Source organism: Homo sapiens, chromosome 15, assembly GCF_000001405.40.
Source record: "Homo sapiens chromosome 15, GRCh38.p14 Primary Assembly".
NCBI classification, from domain to species: Eukaryota; Metazoa; Chordata; class Mammalia; order Primates; family Hominidae; genus Homo; species Homo sapiens.
The window spans coordinates 41,098,795-41,120,225 of NC_000015.10; the positions used below are offsets into that span (position 1 = coordinate 41,098,795).

General features: G+C 45.3%; 1 protein-coding gene and 1 pseudogene across 5 annotated transcripts in view, besides 10 other annotated features; one reads left to right on the forward strand and one right to left on the reverse strand.

The window, feature by feature from the left end:
- The window catches only part of INO80 (INO80 complex ATPase subunit), a 137,401-nt gene extending 119,915 nt beyond the window's left edge, over window positions 1-17,486 (reverse strand). For 4 of the 5 annotated variants that reach the window (NR_104038.2, XR_001751322.3, NM_017553.3 and 1 more), the window contains exon 1: window positions 17,179-17,486. The gene's annotated coding sequence lies outside the window, so the exon portion shown is untranslated. Of the gene's footprint in view, window positions 1-17,049 lie in introns of all 5 variants that reach the window. The other variant, XM_047432698.1, reaches the window with a different exon arrangement.
- Window positions 7,803-8,003: a silencer, noted in NCBI's record as "peak2303 fragment used in MPRA reporter construct". NCBI's record gives its function as "represses an SCP1 promoter by STARR-seq MPRAs in K562 erythroleukemia cells {active_cell/tissue: K562}" and the evidence as "EXISTENCE:reporter gene assay evidence [ECO:0000049][PMID:32103011]".
- CYCSP2 (CYCS pseudogene 2) lies at window positions 10,071-10,383 on the forward strand (annotated as a pseudogene).
- Window positions 16,348-17,128: an enhancer, noted in NCBI's record as "H3K27ac hESC enhancer chr15:41407340-41408120 (GRCh37/hg19 assembly coordinates)". NCBI's record gives its function as "activates a minimal SCP1, AML or CMV promoter by ChIP-STARR-seq in naive H9 embryonic stem cells {active_cell/tissue: H9 hESC(naive)}" and the evidence as "EXISTENCE:reporter gene assay evidence [ECO:0000049][PMID:30033119]".
- Window positions 16,754-16,803: an enhancer, noted in NCBI's record as "active region_9273". NCBI's record gives its function as "activates an Ori minimal core promoter by ATAC-STARR-seq in GM12878 lymphoblastoid cells {active_cell/tissue: GM12878}" and the evidence as "EXISTENCE:reporter gene assay evidence [ECO:0000049][PMID:35858748]".
- Window positions 16,884-16,933: an enhancer, noted in NCBI's record as "active region_9274". NCBI's record gives its function as "activates an Ori minimal core promoter by ATAC-STARR-seq in GM12878 lymphoblastoid cells {active_cell/tissue: GM12878}" and the evidence as "EXISTENCE:reporter gene assay evidence [ECO:0000049][PMID:35858748]".
- Window positions 16,984-17,063: an enhancer, noted in NCBI's record as "active region_9275". NCBI's record gives its function as "activates an Ori minimal core promoter by ATAC-STARR-seq in GM12878 lymphoblastoid cells {active_cell/tissue: GM12878}" and the evidence as "EXISTENCE:reporter gene assay evidence [ECO:0000049][PMID:35858748]".
- Window positions 17,129-17,908: an enhancer, noted in NCBI's record as "H3K27ac hESC enhancer chr15:41408121-41408900 (GRCh37/hg19 assembly coordinates)". NCBI's record gives its function as "activates a minimal SCP1, AML or CMV promoter by ChIP-STARR-seq in primed H9 embryonic stem cells {active_cell/tissue: H9 hESC(primed)}" and the evidence as "EXISTENCE:reporter gene assay evidence [ECO:0000049][PMID:30033119]".
- Window positions 17,129-17,973: a biological region, named in NCBI's record as "H3K27ac hESC enhancer GRCh37_chr15:41408121-41408900".
- Window positions 17,164-17,433: a silencer, noted in NCBI's record as "silent region_6355". NCBI's record gives its function as "represses an Ori minimal core promoter by ATAC-STARR-seq in GM12878 lymphoblastoid cells {active_cell/tissue: GM12878}" and the evidence as "EXISTENCE:reporter gene assay evidence [ECO:0000049][PMID:35858748]".
- Window positions 17,874-17,973: an enhancer, noted in NCBI's record as "active region_9276". NCBI's record gives its function as "activates an Ori minimal core promoter by ATAC-STARR-seq in GM12878 lymphoblastoid cells {active_cell/tissue: GM12878}" and the evidence as "EXISTENCE:reporter gene assay evidence [ECO:0000049][PMID:35858748]".
- Window positions 18,690-19,469: an enhancer, noted in NCBI's record as "H3K27ac hESC enhancer chr15:41409682-41410461 (GRCh37/hg19 assembly coordinates)". NCBI's record gives its function as "activates a minimal SCP1, AML or CMV promoter by ChIP-STARR-seq in primed H9 embryonic stem cells {active_cell/tissue: H9 hESC(primed)}" and the evidence as "EXISTENCE:reporter gene assay evidence [ECO:0000049][PMID:30033119]".

The window sequence follows — 21,431 nt, forward strand, 5'->3', positions numbered from 1 at the left end:
CAACTCTATAAGATAAATAACCCAATTTAAAAATGAGCAAAAGATTTTGAACATTTTACCAACAAAGATGTATGACTAGCTAATAGACACATGAAAAAATGCTAAATATTAATAAATTAAAATTAAAGCACCATACTACTTCATACCCACTAGAATAATAAAAAAGACAGGCTAGACACAGTGGCTCTCACCTATAATCTCAACATTTAGGAGGCTGAAGTGGGTGGATCCCTTGAGCCCAGGAGTTTGAGACCAGCCTGGGCAACATAGCAGGACCGTGTCCCTACAAAAAATTTAAAAATTAGCCAAGTATGGTGATGCGTGCCTGTAGTGCCAGCTACTCAAGAGGCTGAGGTGAGAGGATTGCTTAAGCCCAGGAAGTCAAGGCTGCAGTGAGCTATCATTGTGCCACTGTGCTCCAGCCTGGAGTAAGACCCTGTCTCAAAAAAAAAAAAAAAAAAAAAAAAAAAAAACAAACACACACACACACACACAACAAGAGAGTGAGAGAGAGGGAAAGAAAAAGGGAAAAAAAAAATGTTCCAAACTCCCATTGTGGCGATAGTTCCACAATTCTGTAAATCTACCAAAAATATATTCAAAATATACTGAACTGTATATTTTATTTAAATTATGTGAATTTCATAGTTTGTAAATTGTCAGTCTTGGTAATATAAAGAAAAAAGAATGCTAAAAAATACTTTTGGCCAGGAGCAGTGGCTGAAGCTTGTAATCCCAGCACTTTGGGAGGTGAGGCAGGAGGAGAGCTTGAGCCCAAGAGTTCAAGACCAGCCTGAGTAACATGGCGAGACCTTGTCTCTACAAAAAAATTTAAAAATTAGCTGAGTGTAGTGGCATGCACCTGTAAACCCAGCCACTTGGGAGGCTGAGGAGGGAGGATGGTTTGAGCCCAGGAGGTTGAGACCTCAGTAAGTCATGAACGCACCACTGTACTCCAGCCTGCATAACAGAGTGAGACTATCCAAAAAAAAAAAAACTTTAAATTTCACCTTTTCAAAATGAGACCTAACGTGTACCCACCCACTCCAGAAGATTTCAAAGAAATTGGTTTTTAAAATACAACAAAACTCCCTTAAGAGAACAGCAAATAATTCATCTTGATACATGTATAAATGTAAAACTACTCTGCTTGGCTCCATCCCAAGCTTTTATTACAGAACAATTAATCCATGCTCTAGTTATTTTACCTGATAAGGAAAATGACACTAATTAAGGAGGTATGACTACCAAGTAATACGGAGTGATTCGAAATGAATGGAATATTTTCTTTTCTTTTTTTTTTGAGACAAAGTCTTGTAGCCGAGGCTGGAATGCTGTGGCCCAATCTCGGCTCACTGCAAGCTCTGCCTCCCAGGTTCACGCCATTCTCCTGCCTCAGCCTCCCGAGTAGCTGGGACTACAGGCGCCTGCCACCACGCCAGGCTAACTTTTTGTATTTTTAGTACAGACGGGGTTTCACTGTGTTAGCCAGGATGGTCTCGATCTCCTGACCTCGTGATTCGCCCGCCTCGGCCTCCCAAAGTGCTGGGATTACAGGTGTGAGCCACTGTGCCCGGCCAATGAATGGAATATTTTCAAAACTTATTCCTCAGTACCTATGTGAGTATGAAATCAAAAACAATTTGTTGAAGAAAGATCACAGTTAACTTCTAGTCTTACAATCCTCAATATATGCTCCCTTTTGACACCCAGTATACATCAGTCCTGTCAACTGATTCATCCCAGAAATCATCTTTGCAGCATATCACCACTGATGGCTGAAATGACAGCTGCAATGAATTCCCTTATGTCCACAATACCACCAAAAAAAGGTGCTGTAAGCACAAAATTCTCCACAAGAAGTCCTATGATGACATCTGGAGAACCAAGTTATATTTTTTAAGTGTTCAATTTTTTTCTTTATGGTGGCAAAAGACATAAAACTTACCATTTTAACCATTTTTAAGTGTACACTTCAGTGGCATTATATACATTCACATTGTTGTGCAACCATTACTACCATTCACAATTTTTTCTTTTTTTTTTTTTTTTGAGACAGAGGCTCCCTCTGTCGCCCAGGCTGGAGCACAATGGGGTGATCTCCGCTCACTACAATCTCCGCCTCCTGGGTTCAAGTGATTCTCTCACCTCCAGCCTCCCAAGTAGCTGGGACTACAGGCGCACCCCACCACACACAGCTAATTTTTGTATTTTTAGTAGAGATGGAGTTTTACCATGTTGGCCAGGCTGGTCTCAAACGCCTGGCATCAAGTGATCCACCCACCTCAGCCTCCCAAAGTAGTGGGATTATAGGCATGAGCCACCCACCCGGCTGACAATCATTTCTTAATCACCTTTTAAGATTGCTGGCCTCTCAATTCAGCCTAGTCTTGATTAGCATGTTAAAAGCTGCTGCTGCAATAACCACTTTCATCTCCTCATTTGTCTCTTATTCCCTACAAGGAAACTGCATGGCCATCAACCTGACCCATCTGTTATCGTCCAACTTCAGCAAAACACTTGATAATTCTCAATAACCCTTTTACCCACCTTCTACCAATTGTTTCTCATTCTCTACCAAGATTACTTCAAATCTTTTTTCCCTCTTCCTCAAAATGCTGAAGTCATTCCCCGCTCATCTTGGAAGAGCCTGAAGAGCAAATCATTCCATCCTCTTTTATTTCACCTTAGCTCAATAGTTTCCTCTTACTTGCTGTGATATTTGAGTCACCAACACAAACAGACTTTATTTGTAACTTTTTTTTTTTTTTTTGAGACAGAGTCTTGCTCTGTCACCCAGGCTGGAGTGCAGTGGCGAGATCTCTGCTCACTGCAAGCTCCGCCTCCCAGGTTCAAGCCATTCTCCTGCCTCAGCCTCCCGAGTAGCTGGGACTGCAGGCGCCCGCCACAACGCCTGGCTAAGTTTTTTTGTATTTTAGTAGAGACGGGGTTTCACTGTGTTAGCCAGGATGATCTCGATCTCCTGACCTCGTGATCCACCCACCTCGGCCTCCCAAAGTGCTGGGATTACAGGCGTGAGCCACCGCACCCGGCCTATTTGTAACTCTTAGTCAAGGTGATTCTCCATACTAGTACAAAAGATATGACTATTTCTTGGCGGGCATGGTGGCTCATGCCTGTAATCCCAGCACTTTGGGAGGCTGAGACGAGCAGATTACAAGGTCAGGAATTCGAGACCAACCTGGCTAACACAGTGAAATCCCGCCTTTACTAAAAATACAAAAAAGTAGCTGGGCTTGGTGGCACGCACCTGTAGTCCCAGCTACTCAGGAGGCTGAGGCAGGAGAATCGCTTGAACCTGGGAGGTGGAGGTTGCAGTGAGCCAAGACTGTGCCACTGAACTCCAGCCTGGGCAACAAAGCAAGACTCCATCTCAAAAAAAGAAGATACGACTATGTCTTATGTCACTTATTATGGGTTCATGCCCATGCATTTGCATTTTAAAGTACATACTGTGTAAGTTACTTTATTTATGTTTCCCCAATATATTACAATTAGGGCATCATACTGCTTTTTAAAATTATATATTACCTATAGATTTCATTTCAGGATTTTAAAAAGGGCATATTAGGCCAGGCGCAGTGGCTCATGCCTGTAATCCTAGCACTTTGGGAGGCCGAGGCGGGCAATCACCTGAGATCAGGAGTTCGAGACCAGCCTGACCAATATGGTGAAACCCCATCTCTACTAAAAAATACAAAAATTAGCCAGGTGTGGTGGCGGGTTTGCCTGTAGTCCCAGCAACTTGGGAGCCTGAGGCAGGAGAATCGCTTGAACCTGGGAGGCGGAGGTTACAGTGAGCCAGTATCGTGCACACTGCACTACACCCTGGGCAACAGAGCAAGACTGTCTCAAAGGAAAAAAAAAGGGTGTATTATAAAATATTTGTAATAAAAAAGGAGAGTTGGGTCTGATACAGTTGAGAACCATGCTCTCTGATAACCACTGTTTATCAGAATGAATGAAGTTGATATTGTTGAGTGACTCTTGCTTTTGGATACTCTATTTAATAATCTTTGAAAACTTGGACTATTCCTTAACTCCTTGACTGAAACTTTATTCTAAATGCGGAGTACACCAAAGTTCTGTCATCTATTCCTACGCCTTAGAAAATCTCATCTTCTACCAGGAATTCAATTAACACTGCTGTATGACTGACCCTCTGGCTCTCAACTTGCACAGCATACAATCCACATTTCTAGATGCTTCTAGAAAGGCTTTCTAGATGTTTTCTAGCCCCTACAAACCCAAACTTCTCATATGCCTCCACAGCAGCTAGTTCATCTGTCTTTCCTATTTATATAACAATTATTCAGACTCAAAATCTATGAATCATTTTTTACACCCCCTTCTACTTCTCTCCTGGCATGCAGTGAGTCCCAATGTGTAGTTAATTCTTCTTTGGGAATAATGTCTGGAATATGTCAGTTTCTTCCTATTATCAGTGTTTTCATTTAGCTTCTTAGCCTCACACCTAGACTACTGCTTCCTAATTGACTTTCCCACCTCCAGGTTCTTCTCACTCTAATTCATCTATGCAGATACTTCCAGATCAGTATTCCCAAATCATCGTTCTTGTTTTATATTTTTTTGAGACAGAGTCTCGCTTTGTCACCCAGGGTGGAGTCCAGTGGCGCGATCTCAGCTCACTGCAACCTCCGCCTCCCTGGCTCAAGCAATTTTCCTGCCTCAGCCTCCCAGGTAGCTGGGATTAGAGGCGCCCGCCACCACGCCCGGCTAATTTTTCCTATTTTCAGTAGAGACGGGATTTTATCATGTTGGCCAGGCTAGTCTCAAACTCCTGAACTCAAGTGATCCACCTGCCTCGGCCTCCCAAAGCGCTGGGATTACAGGTGTGAGCCACTGTGCCCAGCCCAAATTCATCATTCTGATTATGCCATTAGTTCCTCAATAGTTTTCCAAAACTCAATAAAATCTAAATTCTTCAGCCTGAAATTTAAAGACCTTTATCATCTGGTTTTGAGTTACTTTTTACAATTTAATCTTTTACTACTTCCCCACATTCCAGGCAAATTAAGAGTTCCTTTAAAATGTCTCTTAACTTCCTATCAGACCTGTCTCACTTCGCGCAAAGAGGCTCTTTAAAATTCATCTGACTGCCAGGCGCAGTGGCTCACGCCTGTAATCCCAGCACCTTGGGAGGCCAAGGAAGGCTGATCACCTGAGGTCAGGAGTTCGAGACCAGCCATCTGACCAACATGGAGAAACCTCGTCTCTACTAAAAATACAACAAAGTTAGTCAGGTGTGGTGGTGCATGCCTGTAATCCCAGCTACTTGGGAGGCTGAGGCAGCAGCATCACTTGAACCCAGGAGGCAGAGGTTGCGGTCACTGCACTCCAGCCTGGGCAATGAGAGCAAAACTCCATCTCAAAAAAAAAAAAAAAAAAAAAAAAAGTAATAAAATAAAATAAAATTCATCTGACCAGAGGCTCATACTGTATTGCTAAGGATGAAAGAACTATTCAATATGTTTTTGGAACAATTCTTCATTGAATAGCCTGTTCCACACCCTGAACTCTGGCTCATTATCCTGAATCCGAACTCTGATCATATTTCAGCTGCCCTGCCAACAGCTTCATGTTAATGGTAAATGTATGCTTCAGAATCATACCCACATATATCAGACTTCCTGAGCTGTGTTCATGAGTAATCCTGGGCTGATTGCTTTGTACTCTCTAGTTACTGCCAGGCCCTTATTTCTTTTCTTTTCTTTTTTTTAAAGGGGAGTCTTGCTCTTTCTCCCAGGCTGGAGTGCAGTGGTCCAATCTTGGCTCACTGCAACCTCCGCCTCCCAGATTCAAGGGATTCTCCTGCCTCAGTCTTCCGAGTAGCTGGGATTACAAGCATGAGCCACCACACCTGGCTAATTTTTTTTGTATTTTAGTAGAGACGAGGTTTCACCATGTTGGCCAGGCTGGTCTCAAACTCCTGACCTCAAATGATTTGTCTGCCTTGGCCTCCCAAAGTGCTGGAATTACAGGTGTGAGCCACCACACCCGGCCAACTTATCAGTATTTATATTGTACAGAATTATGTATTCTGTACAAAATTCACTTTTATATTTAATTTTACTATACTAAAAGTCAGTTTTCATTATGGGAGTGGATACACTTAACCAGTGTGGGTAGTAACAGACAAGTTATGTAGAACTGTGCTCCTCAAAGAAGTCTGAAAATCAAAGTTCAGGTAATTCATCCCAAAGACAAACCATCTGCAAATAAGCATGAGTTGAACTGTACACTAACTGGATCCTGCTTTTCAAACTGTAGATATTTAAGTCAGTCATATCTGTGATAATTACATAAAGAGCAAATGTAACTACTTTCACTCTATTAACTATGTGGTCTAACAATCAACAAGGAGATATGTTTACATCAAACCAGGTGGTTGATAAACACTTCTTTAAATGTTAAACATTATCCTTTATGCAAAAAGCTTGGGGGTTGGGGGGGCACCTCCATTATAAAGAATTCCAAGTGGGGATCCAAATGTCCCTATTTTCTCAAATACTTAGTAAGGAGGCTACATGCTCACCCATTCTACTGAGATTTATATGCCAAATGTTTCATATGTGTTTGCATTTTCATTTAAACCTTATATGATGCAGATACTATTACAACCACCATTTTACATACAAAGAAACTGAGCTTAACTAACTCGCCCAAGATCATACAAACAGAAGTGCGCCAAGATTGGAATCCAAGAAGTGTGACTTCAAAGCCCCACAAGATTAAGTACTCCAAGCATGAAGTACTTCCAGCAAATTAGAGGCTCCTACGACATAAAACTATGCCACTGGAGTACTTCAAGGAGAATTTTAATTTATTCAATCATTTGTTTATATCAATATAAAACTTTATTTTATACTATGGGTCATAATCCAATTCTGCTTTAATTTTGCTACTCAAATTGTTCCAGCTTTGGCCACTGGAAACTTTCAGTTGGTTCCTTTGCTCCTTCGACATAACCCATTAACGTGAAATGTTGTTGTTTTTAGAGCACTTCCTTATTTTTTGGCACAACAAGATACTCAAGGTTCATCTTATGTATATTTCCTGCCCCAATCACAGAATCAACCATTTCTCCAAGGAGCACTAGTTTCTTTTATTGGAGAATAATATTAGAAACTAAGATCCGGGGCCAGGTGTGTTGGCTCACACCTGTAATCCCAACACTTTGGGAGGCTGAGGCAGGAGGACTGCTTGAGCCCAGGAGTTCAACACCAGCCTGGGTAACATAGGGAGACCCACCTCTCTATAAAAATAGAAAACTTTGGCCAACCGCAGTGACTCATGCCTGTAATGCCAGCACTTTGGGAAGCTAATCACTTGAGCTCTGGAGTTTGAGACCAGCCTGGGCAACATAGCGAAATCCTGTCTGCATGAAAAATACAAAAATTAGCCACACGTGGTGGCGAGCACCTATAGTCCCAGCTACCTGGGAGGCTGGGGTGTGAGGATGGCTTAAGCCCAAGAGACAGAGGTTGCTGCGGGCTGAGATCATGCCACCACACTCCAGCCTGGGTGACAGGGCCAGACCCTGTCTCAAAAAAAAAAAAAAAAAAGAGAAAGAAAGAAAAAAATTAGATTAGCTGTGCATAGTGGCACACAGTTAAACTCTGTAAACTCATACAGTGAGCATACAGTAAACTCATATAGTGGCATACCTGTAGTCCCAGCCCCAGCTATTTGGGAGGCTGAGGTGGGAGGATAGCTTGAGTCTGGAAGGTCATGGCTGCAGTGAGCATGCCATTGCACTCCAGCCTGGGTGACAGGGCAAGACCCCTGTCTCAACAAAAAAAAAGAAACCAAGATCTGGGCACTAGGTGCACTCCTAGGTGTTGTTTCTTTCAACTCTCAGCTGACAATGAATGGAAATATATTTGTGTATATTAACTCAAGTATGTACATATATCTATAAATATTTCTACATATAAACATGGAACTATTTTGTACTGGTATCTCCAACCTGAATCCATTACCACAAAGATTATTCTAGCCTCCTGCCTCGCTTATCTGTAAATTCCACTCCAACAGTGAAAAGCCTGCCTCCTGCCATCCATTTACTTAACTGTTCAATTGTAGTTACCTATGTAATCAGTACTGATTCCTTTAAACCAGTATCAGAATTGTTAACCTCTGCCCCTTCGGAATGTAACTTTATCAATTAAAGTATAACGCTTATGTACAGTCCCTTTTGTCTTACAGATTCCACTCATTTCCAAAGTTACTTAAATCAGCACCTTCCTCCCGTTTAGCAAGGTTGTTTCACACATTTGTGATACAGTTAGTTTCTCCTGTCAAGATTTGCATGCCTGAAAGGCCTTGACCTCTAAAAAAATTTTTTTTAATTTGCATACATTAAAGTTTACTCTTAGGCCCAGAACAGCAGATCACACCCAGAACTTCAGGAGGCCAAGGCAGGCGATCATTTGAGGCCAGGAGTTCAAGACCAGGAGTTCGAGACCAGCCTGGTCAACAAGGTGAAACCCCATCTCTACTAAAAATACAAAAATTAGCCAGGCATTGTGGCACACACCTGCAATCCCGGCTACTTCGGAGGCTGAGGCAGGAGAATTGCTTGAACCCAGGAGATGAAGGTTGCAGTGAGCCATGATGGTGCCACTGCACTCCAGCCCAGGTGACAGAACAAGACTCTGTCATTAAAAAATAACTAACTAGGCCAGGTGTGATGGCTCATGCCTATAATCCCAGCACTTTGGGAGGCCAAGGAGGGTGGATCATTTGAGGTCAGGAGTTCGAGGCCAGCCTGGCCAACATGGTGAAACCCTGTCTCTACTAAAAATATAAAAATTAGCTGGGTGTCCTGGTGGGCACCTGTAATCCCAGCTACTCAGGAGGCTAAGACAGGAGAATTGCTTGAGCCTGGGAAACAGAGGTGGCAGTGAGCTGAGACCATGCCACTGCACTTCAGCCTGGGCAACAGAGCGAGACTATGTCTCAATAAATAAATAAATAAATAGGCCGGGCATGGTGGCTCACGCCTGTAATGCCAGCACTTTGGGAGGCCAAGGAGGGTGGATCACGAGGTCAGAAGTTTGAGACCAGCCTGACCAACACAGTGAAACCCCATCTCTACTAAAAATACAAAAATTAGCCGGGCATGGTGGTGCATGCCTGTAATCCCAGCTACTAGGGAGACTGAGGCAGGAGAATCGCTTGAACTCGGGAGGCAGAGGTTGTGGTGGGCCGAGATCACACCACTGCACTCCAGCCTTGGCAACAGAGCAATACTATGTCTCAAAAAATAAACAAACTTTACTCTTCGTGCTGTAAAGTTCTATGGGTTTTGACATGTCATGTGTCCACCATTACAGTATCAAACAGAATACTTTTATCAAGCAGTAACTTTAACTGAATTAAATGATACAACTTTCAGTGGAAACAGCATGGTAAGAAAGAAGATGAAGTCAAGAGCTGTGAGCTGAATCCATTGAAAAGCCACAGATAGGCCGGGCGTGGTGGCTCACACCTGTAATCCCAGCACTTTGGGAGGCCGAGGCAGGCGGATCACAAGGTCAGGAGATCTAGACCATTCTGGCTAACACCAGTAGAAACCCTGTCTCTACTAAAAAATACAAAAAATTAGCCGGGCGTGGTGGTGGGCGCTTGTAGTCCCAGCTACTTGGGAGGCTGAGGCAGGAGAATGGCATGAACTCGGGAGGCGGAGCTTGCAGTGAGCCGAGATCTCGCCACTGCATTCCAGCCTGGGGGACACAGCGAGACTCCGTCTCAAAAAAAAAAAAAAAAAAAGGAAAAAAAGAAAAGCCACAAATAGACTAGGACAGGCAGCTACTCACTCTGGGTCTCACTAGTTCCACTGTAAAATGGGGGTTCAATTCGACTAATCATATATAGCATTTATTAAACATTATGTATCAGGAATGGTACTAAGTACGTCACATGGATTGCCTCATTTATATCTAACAACACTATAAAGTAGACACTGATAGAGCAGGACGTCCATCCTCAGAACCGGAACCTTTGTACAAAACAGATAATTAAATAAGGGTGATGTTGAAAAACAAGAATATGTGTGCTCAGAAGCACGCCCAGTGCCACATCATGGAAGAGGGAGGCCAGCAAAAGACTGGGCCAAATCTCCACGGTCTCTTTGGAAAGAAGACAGGTCAGGCTGTTGGATTCACTTACACAGACGCCAATAAGAAAAAAAGCATTGCCTGGGGAGAGGATACACTGATACAGTATTTGGAGAATCCCAAGAAGTCTATTCCTGGAACAAAAATTATCTTTGCCAGCATTAATAAGGTAGAAAGGGCAGATTTGATAGCTTACCTCAAAAAAGCTACTAATGGCTAGGCACAGTGGCTCATGCCTGTAATCCCAGCACTTTGGGAGGCTGAGGCAGGCGGATCACTTGAGGTCAAGAGCTCGAGACCAGCCTGGCCAACATGGTGAAACCCCATCTCTACTAAAAATACAAAAATTAGCCAGGCATGGTGGCGGGCACCTGTAATTCCAGCTACTGGGGAGGCTGAGGCAGAACTGCCTGAACCCGGGAGGCGGAGGTTGCACTGAGCTGAGATTGCCCCACTGCACTACAGCCTGGGCGACAGAGTAAGGCACTTCAAAAAAAGTACTAATGAGTAATTGGCCACTGCCGTATTTATTACAAAATAGAAATGTCTGGCCAGGCACAGTGGCTCATGGCTGTAACCCCGGCACTTTGGGAGGTTGGGAGGCTGAGGCGGGTGGATCACCTGAGGTCAGGAGTTCGAGATCAGCCTGGCTAACATGGTGAAACCCTATCTTACTAAAAATACAAAAATTATGCCAGGTGCGGTGGCTCACACCTGTAATCCCAGCACTTTGGGAGGCCGAGGCAGATGGATCACCTGAGGTCAGGAGTTTGAGACCAGCCTGGTCAACATGGTGAAACCCCATCTCTACTAAAAATATGAAAATTAGCCAGGCATGGTGGCACACACCTGTAGTCCTAGCTACTCAGGAGGCTGAGGCAGGAGAATCACTTGAACCTGGGAGATGGAGGTTGCAGTGAACCGAGATAGTACCACTGCACTCCAGCCTGGACGACAGAGCGAGACTCCACCTCAAAAAAAAAAAAAACTGTCCAGGCGTGGTGATGGGTGGCTGTAATCCCAGCTGCTGGGGAGGCTGAGGCAGGAGAATTGCTTGAGCCCGGGAGGCAGAGGTTGCAGTGAGCTGAGATCGTGCTACTGCACACCAACCTGGGCAACAAGCGAAACTCCGTCTCAAAAAAAAAAAAAGAAAACTGGCTGTGGTTAAATGAATATATTTGGCTTTCTGGATTTTATTTTTATTTTGAGATGGAGTTCCCCTCTGTCGCCAGGCTGGAGTGCAGTGGCATGATCTCGGCTCACTGCAACCTCTACCTCCAGGGTTCAAGCTATTCTACTGCCTCAGCCTCCCAAGTAGCTGGGACTACAGGCACGTGCCAGCACACTCACCCAATTTTTGTGTTTTTAGTAGAGACGGGGTTTCACCATGTTGGTCAGGATGGTCTCGATCTCTTGACGTCATGATCCACCCGCCTCAGCCTCCCAAAGTGCTGGGATTACAGATTTAAGAAGCCACAGCACCCGGCCTCTTTTATTTTTTAGACAGGGTCTCGCTTGTCACCCAGGCTGGAGTGCAGTGGCAGGATCACAGCGCACTATAGCCTTGACCTGCTGAGCTCAGGTGATCCTCCCATTTCGGCCTCCAGAGTAGCTGGGACTACAGGCATGCACCACCACACCCGGCTAATTTTTTGTAGAGATGGGGTTTTGGCATATTGCCCAGGCTGGTCTCAAACTCCTAGACTCAAGTGATTTGCCTGCCTTGGTCTCCCAAAGTGCTGAGATTACAGGTGTGAGCTACCATGAAGGTCTTGGTTTTTTATTTTAACAGTAATTCCAATTAAGTAAATGATATCACTGTTTTCCCCTTCTAAAAACATGATTGAACTTCATTAGTAATGTTCAACTTTTCATCAAGATGGTGAATGCCATCTTAAAATCTACTGGAGATTGATTTTATATTTAGATTTATATAACTGGTTATGTGAGCATATTTAAATACTGGCAAAATTCCTTCATTGTCTCAGAACCAAGCATAATTCACCTGTGTTTTGTGTTTATTTGCCTCTTAAAGGCAAGGGCTGAAGATAAGGCAGCAATGTCTACATTTTTGGCCTTAACTATGCCAAGCTAATTAGAATTCCTTGTAACTAAAATGGTTCCTTTTACTTACTGAAAAGCACTTTAGGGTGTGGTTTATGTGTAATATCAAATAAAGAATAGTTAACGCTTAAAAAATAAAATAGGCCAGCCGTGGTGGTTCACGCCTATAATCCTAGCACTTTGGGAGGTAGAGGCAGGCAAATCACCTGAGGTCAGGAGTTCCAGATCAGCCTGGTCAACATGGTGAAACCCCATCTCTACTAAAGATACAAAAATTAGCTGGGTGTGGTGGCACATGCCTGTAGTCCCGGTTACTCAGGAGGCTGAGGCAGGAGAATTGCTTGAACCCAGGAGGCAGAGGTTGCAGTGAGCCAAGATGGCGCCACTGCACTCCAGCCTGGCGAGAGAGCGAGACTCCGTCTCAAAAAAAAGAATTTTTTTTTTAATGGTCTGGTCTGTTCTTAAGCCTTAACCATCTTATTCACTAAGAAGTTTCAAAAACAGGCCACACAGTGGCTCACACCTGTAATCCCAGCACTTTGGGAGGCTAAGGTGGGCGGATCATGAGGTCAGGAGTTTGAAACCAGCCTAGCTAACATGGTGAAATCCTGTCTCTACCAAAAATACAAAAATTAGCCGGGCGTGGTGGTGCACGCCTGTAATCCTAGCTACTCGGGAGGCTGAGGCAGGAGAATCACTTGAACTCGGGAGGCGGAGGTTGCAGTGAGCTGAGATCACGCCACTGTACTCCAGCCTGGGCTACAAGAGCAAAACTCTGTCTCAAGAAAAAAAAAAACGTTTTTGCGGGGAGGAGGAAAAAAAAAACCTCTTACCCAACAGAATAGGTGTCTTCAGACTACAAAGCCGTCCAAGATACATTAAAAAATGTTAAGAACCTTGCTCTGGAGGGAATAGCTCTGTTGCCCAGGCTGGAGTGCAGTGGCACAATCAGGGTTCACTGTAGCCTCAACCTTCCAGGCTCAACCAAACCTCCCATCTCAGCTTTCCAAGTAGCTGAACTATAGGCACACGCCACCCTAGTCCAAAAATTTTATTTTCTGTAGAGATGAGGTCTCCCTATATTGACCAGGCTGGTCTCAAGCTCCTCAAGCTCACGTGATCCTCCCTCCTCTGCCTCCCAAAGTGCTGGGATTACAGGTGGAAACCACTACGCCTGGCCAAAAATACTCTTCAAAATATTTTTGGGGAAGGCAGAAGGACTATAACAAAAATAGAATAGTGGTTCTGTCATTTACTGGCTATATGATTTAACTTGGTTTCAATTTTCTCATCTGTAAAATGAGAATTACTACCAAGAAGTTTCAAGAAAATTAAAATGATAATATATAAAGTATCTACCATACTCACTGACTCACAAGAGTTGTCTGATATTAGTGCCTATGCCCTTCTCATTCTCTATATGCTATAGCCTATCATATCAAGATTTTGATACGTTAGATCCAACTTTAAAACTTTTCAACTGTTAGCTGGACACAGTGGCTCACGCCTGTAATCCCAGCACTTTGGGATGCCAAGGCAGGCAGATCACAAGGTCAAGAGATCGAGACCATCCTGGCCAAACATGGTGAAACCCCATCTCTACTAAAAATACAAAAATTAGCCAGGCGTGGTGGCATGCGCCTGTAGTCCCAGCTACTTGGGAGAATGAAGCAGGAGAATTTCTTGAACCCGGGAGGCAGAGGGTGCAGTGAGCCTAGATCGTGCCACTGCATTCCAGCCTGGCGACAGGGCAAGACTCCATCTCAAAAAAAAAAAAAAAAAAAAAAAAAAACTTTTCAACTGTTTTCCTACAAAAACTTAGTCTCCTATTAACCCCAACCCACTTTGTCCACTCTAAAATCCACTGCATCCTAGCGTTTATATTTCATGTGTATTTTGTTGTTGTTGTTGTTGAGCCAGCTCGGGCTCTGTCGCCCAGGCTGGAGTGCAGTGGCTCGATCTCGGCTCACTGCAATCTCTGCCTCCTGGGCTCAAGCCATCCTCTCACCTCAGCATCCCAAGTAGCTGGGACTACAGGTGCACATCACCATGCTTAGCTAATTTTTGTATTTTCTGTAGAGACAGGGTTTTGCCATGTTGCCCATGCTGATTTCAAACTCCTGAGCTCAAACGATCCGCCTGCTCAGCCTCCCAAAGTGCCGGGATTACAGGTGTGAGCCACCAAGCCTAACCTATTTAATGTGAATTTGTATGTTGGCATATAAAATCCCCTAGCCAGTTTTGTTTTGTTTTGTTTTTTTGAGACAGAGTTTTGCTCTTGTTGCACTCCACTGGAGTGCAGTGGCTCAATCTCGGCTCACTGCAACCTCCGCCTCCCGGGTTCAAGCGATTCTCCTGCCTCAGCCTCCTGAGTAGCTGGGATTACAGGTGCGCGCCACCACGCCCAGCTAATTTTTTGTATTTTTGGTAGAGTCAGAGTTTAACCATGTTGGCCAGGCTGGTTTCGAACTCCTGACCTCAGGTGATCCACCTGCCTCAGTCTCCCAAAGTGCAGGGATTACAGGCGTGAGCCACCGCACCCGGCCAACAAACTTTCATTAAGTGAACCTCTAACACCACAGCTTATAATTAGTTTTGTTTTGTTTTTAGAGACAGGGTCTCGCTCTCCACCCAGGCTTGAGTGCGCTGGCACAATCATAGCTCACTAGGGACTCAAGTGATCCTCTTGCCTCCTGAGTAACTGGGACTACAGGCTTGAGACACCATGCCCAGCAGAATAGCTCTCGATTTGTTGCTTTGGCTTAATCACATTTCCACCTTGATGTACTCAAAATGTTTTTATTAGTCATAAACTTTTCTAATCACATTTGTGCTCACTACAATTATTTCCTATCACAATTTACAGACTTTCAAAAATTGATTTGGTTTCTACTGAAATAAAACGTAGAGGAAAAGAACACAGTAAGCTAAAATGATGGAATTCAATCCCTTAAAAACAAAATTCAGCCGGGCACGGTGGCTCACGCCTGTAATCTCAGCACTTTGGGAGGCCAAGGTAGGTGGATCACGAGGTCAGGGGCTCGAGACCAGCCTGACCAACATGGTGAAACCCCGTCTCTACTAAAAATACAAAAATTAGCTGGGTGTGGTGGCGGGCGCCTGTAATACCAGCTACTCAGGAGGCTGAGGCAGGAGAATTGCTTGAACCCGGGAGGCGGAAGCTGCAGTGAGCCGAGATCACGCCACTATACTCCAGCCTGGGCGACAGAGCCAGACTCCGTCTCAAAAAACAAAAAAAAAAAAACATTCATTTTAAAGTCTAGAAGGTATGCAACTTTTACCACACATAATGATCTCAAATTGTTTTATAGGAGGAGGAGCTTGGAAATTTCAAACATAAAATGCAACTAGAACAGAATATTATTTGGCATTAAAAGCAAATGAGGCCATGTGCGGTGGCTCATGCCTATAATCCCAGCACTCTGGGAGGCCAAGGCAGGCGGATCACTTGAGGTCAGGAGTTCGAGACCGGCCTAGCCAACATGGTGAAACCCCGTTTCTACTAAAAATACAAAAATTAGCCGGGTGTGGTGGCAGCCGCCTGTAATCCCAGCTACTGGGGAGGCTGAGGCACGAGAAGTGCTTGAACCTGGGAGGCGGAGGTCGCAGTGAGTCGGGACCCCGCCACTGCACTCCAGCCTGGACGACAGAGCGAGACTCAGTCTCAAAAAAAAAAAAAAAAAGGAATTAAGTACTGATACCTGCTACAACACGGATGAACCTTGAAAACACCATGTTAAGTGAAACAAACTAGGCAAAGAAAGATACATATGTTTCTTTTTTAGGTAAATTTAGGCAAAAAATATATTAATAGTTACCTAAGACTGGAGGGAGGGGGAATGGGGAGTGACTGCTAAATGGCTTCTAGAGATTCTCTTTTAGGGTGATGAATTAAATAGTGGTTGATGGCTACAGAATTTAATAAATATAGTTTCAGAAAATTACTTAATTATACGCTTTAGAAAGCGGAATTTTTTGGTATTTGAATCATATTTCAATAAAGCTATTATTTAATTTAAGTTGCCACTGAAAAGCCACAATAATTTTGTTGTGGAGGAAATAATGAAAGTCACTGACTGGAAAAGTAACCTGTGACGTTAGCCAGGTCAACCTCCAAATTCCTTCCCCCATTTCTAACAAGTACATCAAACTAGAGACAGTGTGTGAATCAAAGAATTCCAGGCACAGTTGGCTGTTAACTAGAATAGTAAGTGGCTGCCTAGGTTCTGTCATTCCTAAACTGTAGGGGGCTTCTAGCCTCGGAGATTACGGAAGTAGTACTTTCCATTAGCGAGCTCAAGAAGGAATGTCAAAATAGGATGACACTTTCCTAGTCGCTATGTAAAAACCTAAAAAACCAGAAGAGGTGTCATCTAGACACTCCCAAGTCTATGCAGGTGTCAGCCTGCCCCCACCCAACACCAGCCAGCAGCGTGCACCATTCAACCGTATCTCAACTTGCCCCTTACAAAATGACACACTAACAAGCCCTTAGATCTCATTTGTTTAAAATGACAGATACACAACCTTCACGGGGTTCCCACTCAAGGCCTTCCAGCCTCCGCCCTGCCCCTGCCCACCCCCAAACCTACACACGTGTTAGCCCGACACCGCCCCACCGGGTCCCACGTGCACCTGGTCTAACACACTCCCCACGTGTGGGCGCCCCACGGGCTTCCTCAGGTGGCTGAGGTCACCGCATGACCCCGGGTCTCCAGAGATATGAAACGGGAAGGACAAGGCCCTAGTCCCTGAGGTCCCAACCCTGCGGGGAGTGTCCACACCCATCCTCCATACTAACCCCAACAAATCCAAGGGCCGGGGGCGACGGCCCCTTTAAGACGCGGCCCAGTTGTCGCCCGCAGAGAGGGGCGCAACAAGACCTACACAACCCCCACTCCGTTCGCCCGCCCACGTCTAGTTGCCTCACCTCGGGCCGCCTGGCCCCGCCGCCGCGACGGCGGCGGAGGGGGGGCGGGGTGCGGGCGGGGTCCGGAGGGGGGGGTCGCCCCGCCGACGGTGGAGCCGCGGTTCGCTCTCTGAGGCCGTGGGACGGTGACTGCGTTGGGCGTGGACGCTCCTAGCTCGCTCCCTCCGCGGCTCCTGGGACCCCAAGATGGCGGCGGCGCTGAGGCGGCTGCGGGCGCTGGGCCGGCGGCGGCGGCGGCCACTTTCACTCACTGAGAGGAGCGGAGCAGGGACACGGGGAGCCATGGCGGGGGGGAGGAGAGGCGCCATAGCCAGGCCAGAACAATCGAGCCGCTACACGGGTGGCTTACCCCCACCCCGCCCACACTCACTGCTCGTCGCCTGCCCGTGGCCACCCGTAGTGCCGCTGCCGTCGGCCTCGCGCAGCTCGCACCCCGCCGCTGCCACCTGACGCCCCGTGCGAACCGGGGTTCGAGGGGAGACCCTGATCCATGCCATCTGAGTACAGATTAGTCGGGACTGGGACTGGCGAAGATTGCCGAAAGGCGGCGGGGAGGAGGAGGAGGATGTCATCGCTACAGTGAGCAAGCAGATCTCGCAGGAGAAAATGTCGCGAGAGCTTTCCAGGCCCGCAACCGCCGATGCAAGGTTACTTTTCCCGGAAGTAACGTCAATCGAAACCGCCCGGGATCCTGGGATATTTGTTCCCGCAGGCTAGAGGTGGGAAGGTGCAGCCAAGTTGATAAGATCTCTTTAGGGGAAGGAGAGGCTCGCAGCTGGTATTTTGTTACTAGTTTCTGACCCCTTTGGATGGGGTTGTAGATTGTCGGGGAAGTGCCTGGTGTGTAGTTCGACTACTATACAGTAATTAGTTTGGGGCTCCCATTTAGACTCTGGGAGCAAGAACGCTATAGGTTGGGTAGGACAGCATAGTTAGATAAGATGTCTACGTGAAGGTTGTGGGATACAAGGACTTGGGAACACGCAGACCTGTTATCGGAAATGCCAGCCTGTTCTCACATCCACACAGTGTGCCTCTGAAAAGCGAATAATTGCTTTTACCTGTGCCAATTCTACAATTTGAGTCCACTGCCACCCACATTTACTAAACTTGGGGTCTCGCTATGTTGCCCAGTCTACTGGGCTGGTTCCCAGTCTCCTGGCCTGAAGTGATCCTCCTGCCTGGAAGGATCACCTCAGGCCAAACGTCTCAGAGCAGTCCATTAGACTGGTCAACATAGCGAGACCCCGTCTCTACAAAAAAGACAACATAATAAATGTAATCGACCCAACTACCAGGATGTGTGGTGAGAATTGCCTAGGGTAAGGCCTAGGTGTAGATAAGAATTAGAACTTACTGAAAGTTAAATATGCTGTTAATTCAGTTCCTTTGGGTCTCATTCTTTAATCCATTTTAACCTGGCCCTTAGCATTTAACTAAAAAGTACTTTATTAAGGTCATCAAGTAGCCTTCTTGTGCTGAGTTAACTGACCTTTAAAAAGTTAAATTTGTGTCAGGGTGCAGTGCCACACGCCTGTAATCCCAGCACTTTGGGAGGTCAGGTGGTCGAATCACCTGAGGTCAGGAGCTCGAGACCAGCCTGACCAATATGGTGAAACCCCATCTCTACTAAAAATACAAAAATTAGCCGGGCGTGGTGGCGGGTGCCTGTAGTCCAGCTACTTGGGAGCCTGAGGCAGGAGAATCGCTTGAACCTGGGAGGCGGAGGTTACAGTGAACCGAGATCGCACCATTGCACTCCAGCCTGGGCAGCAAGAGCGAAATTCCGTATCAAAAAGAAAAAAAAAAAAATCCATCTCAAAAAGAAAAAAAAAAAGTTACATTTGCAAGCCAAGCGCGGTAGCTCACGCGTGTAATCCCGGCACTTTGGGAGGCTGAGGCGGGTGGATCACTTGAGGTCGGGATTTTGAGACCAGCCTGGCCAACATGGTGAAACCTCGTCTCTACTGAAAAAAAAAAAAAAAAAAAAAAAAAAAGATTAGCCGGGCGTGGTGGCGGGCACCTGTAATCCCAGCTACTCGGGAGTCTGAGGCAGGAGAATCTCTTGAACCTGGGAGGCAGGGGTTGCAGTGAGCCGAGACTGAGCCACTGTACTCCAACCTGGGACAGAGCGAGACTCTGCCTCAAGAAAAAAAACCAAGAGTTAAATTTGCTTGAATGCATGGCCAGGCACGGTGGCTCACGCCTGTAATCCCAGTACTTTGGGAGGCCTAGGCAGGCAGATCACGAGGTCAGGAGTTTGAGACCAGCCTGACCAACCTTGAAACCCTGTCTCTACTAAAAATACAAAAATTAGCTGGGCATGATGGCGCGCGCCTGTAATCCCCCCAGCTACTCAGGAGGCTGAGGCAGGGGAATCGCTTGAACCCCGGAGGCGGAGGTTGCCGTGAGCGGAGATCTAGCCATTGCACTCCAGCCTGGGCAACAGAGTAAGACTGTCTTTAAAAAAAAAAAATGCTTAAAGGCAAAAGTATGATATATAATTGGCCCTTATATCTGCGGGTTCAATATCCGTGGATTCAACCAACAGCAAATCAAAAATACTCAAAAAATAGGCTGGGCTCAGTGGCATACACCTGTAATCCCCAGCACTTTGAGAGGCTGAGCCAAAGTGTCACTTGAAGCCAGGAGTTACAGATTGGCTTGGGCAACAAAAGAAGACCCCATTTCTACCAAATGTTCAAAAAATAAATAATAACTCATTTCAAAATACACTATAATTATTTGCATAACATTTGCATTGTATTGGGTATTATAAGTAATCTAGAGATGATTTAAAGTATATGGGAGGATGTGTAGGTGATATGCAAATGCTACACAATTTTGTCACACACGCCTGTAATCCCAGCACTTTGGGAGGCCGAGGCTGGCAGATCACGAGGTCAGGAGATCGAGACCATCCTGTCTATCGCGGTGAAACCCCGTCTCTACTAAAAAAATACAAAAAAATTAGCCAGGCGTGGTGGCAGGCGCCTGTAGTCCCAGCTACTCAGGAGGCTGAGGCAGGAGAATGGCGTGAACCTGGGAGGCAGAGCTTGCAGTGAGCCGAGATCACGCCACTGAACTCCAGCCTGGGCGACAGAGCGAGACTCCATCTCAAACAAAATTTTTTTAAAAAGTTTTAACCAGGAACTAATGTGATTGATTTCTTACATGAGGAGAATGGAAGAAGGGAAGGAATGGGAATTATGTAGCAGGATTGAGGCAGAAATGGCAAAGTTTCCAGCATGGGTGACAACTGCAAACTCTGTTTCAAAAAAAAAAAAACAGAAACCACAGAAGGCAACCTGAAAGAACTCCTAATGGCCAAGGCAACAAAGTAAATCATAATAGCATTGGATCATGAACCACAGATGACCCATATATATTAATTTTAATATTCATGCCGATATAAGTAAATATCTGATATAAATACTAATATAAATAAATGAGAAGAGAAGAAAGAAGAAAAGAATGCTTTCTTAGAGTAGGATTTTAGTAAATGTGGAAGGAATGAGGGATAACAAAACTCACCATTAGACAAACACTTCAGCAATCACTGCTGCAGACAAGATCCACTAAGGAATGCTAAATTAGTGGTTAAAAATTTGCTATGAAACAGAATTTGCACAGATTCAAAGTGTCTCACCCAAGATACATTTTAGCACAAAGGGAAAGACAGTAACTTTATAGTGGTGAAACTCAGCAGAAACCACCTTAACCAACCAATTAAGGTAAACAATAAGACATGTTTACGTCCTGAACCCCTTGATATTTTGCATTGAGAAAGACCCAACATAATTTCTGTGGTATTCTTACCAAAATTCATAACCACATTCCATTCATGAAAAAACACCACACTATTTCAAATTCAGGGACTTACCACAAAATAATTGATCAATACTCTTCAAAACCATCAAGGTCATGAAAGACAAGGAAAGACCCAAGGACCCTTACAGACCTACACACCAAGGAGAAATAACAAGTAAATGCAATGTGGAGTCCTAGGAGGGAACCTGGAACAGAAACTGGACATCAGTGGAAAAACTTACGACACTTGTATAAGTTTTTTAATGTAGTTCGTAGTATTGTATCAATGCTGACTTCCTCGTCTTAGAAATTGTACTATTGGCCAGGCGCAGTGGCTCACACCTGTAATCCTAGCACTTTGGGAGGCCGAGGTGGGCAGATCACCTGAGGTTGGGAGTTCAAGACCAGCCTGACCAACATGGAGAAACCCTGTCTCTACTAAA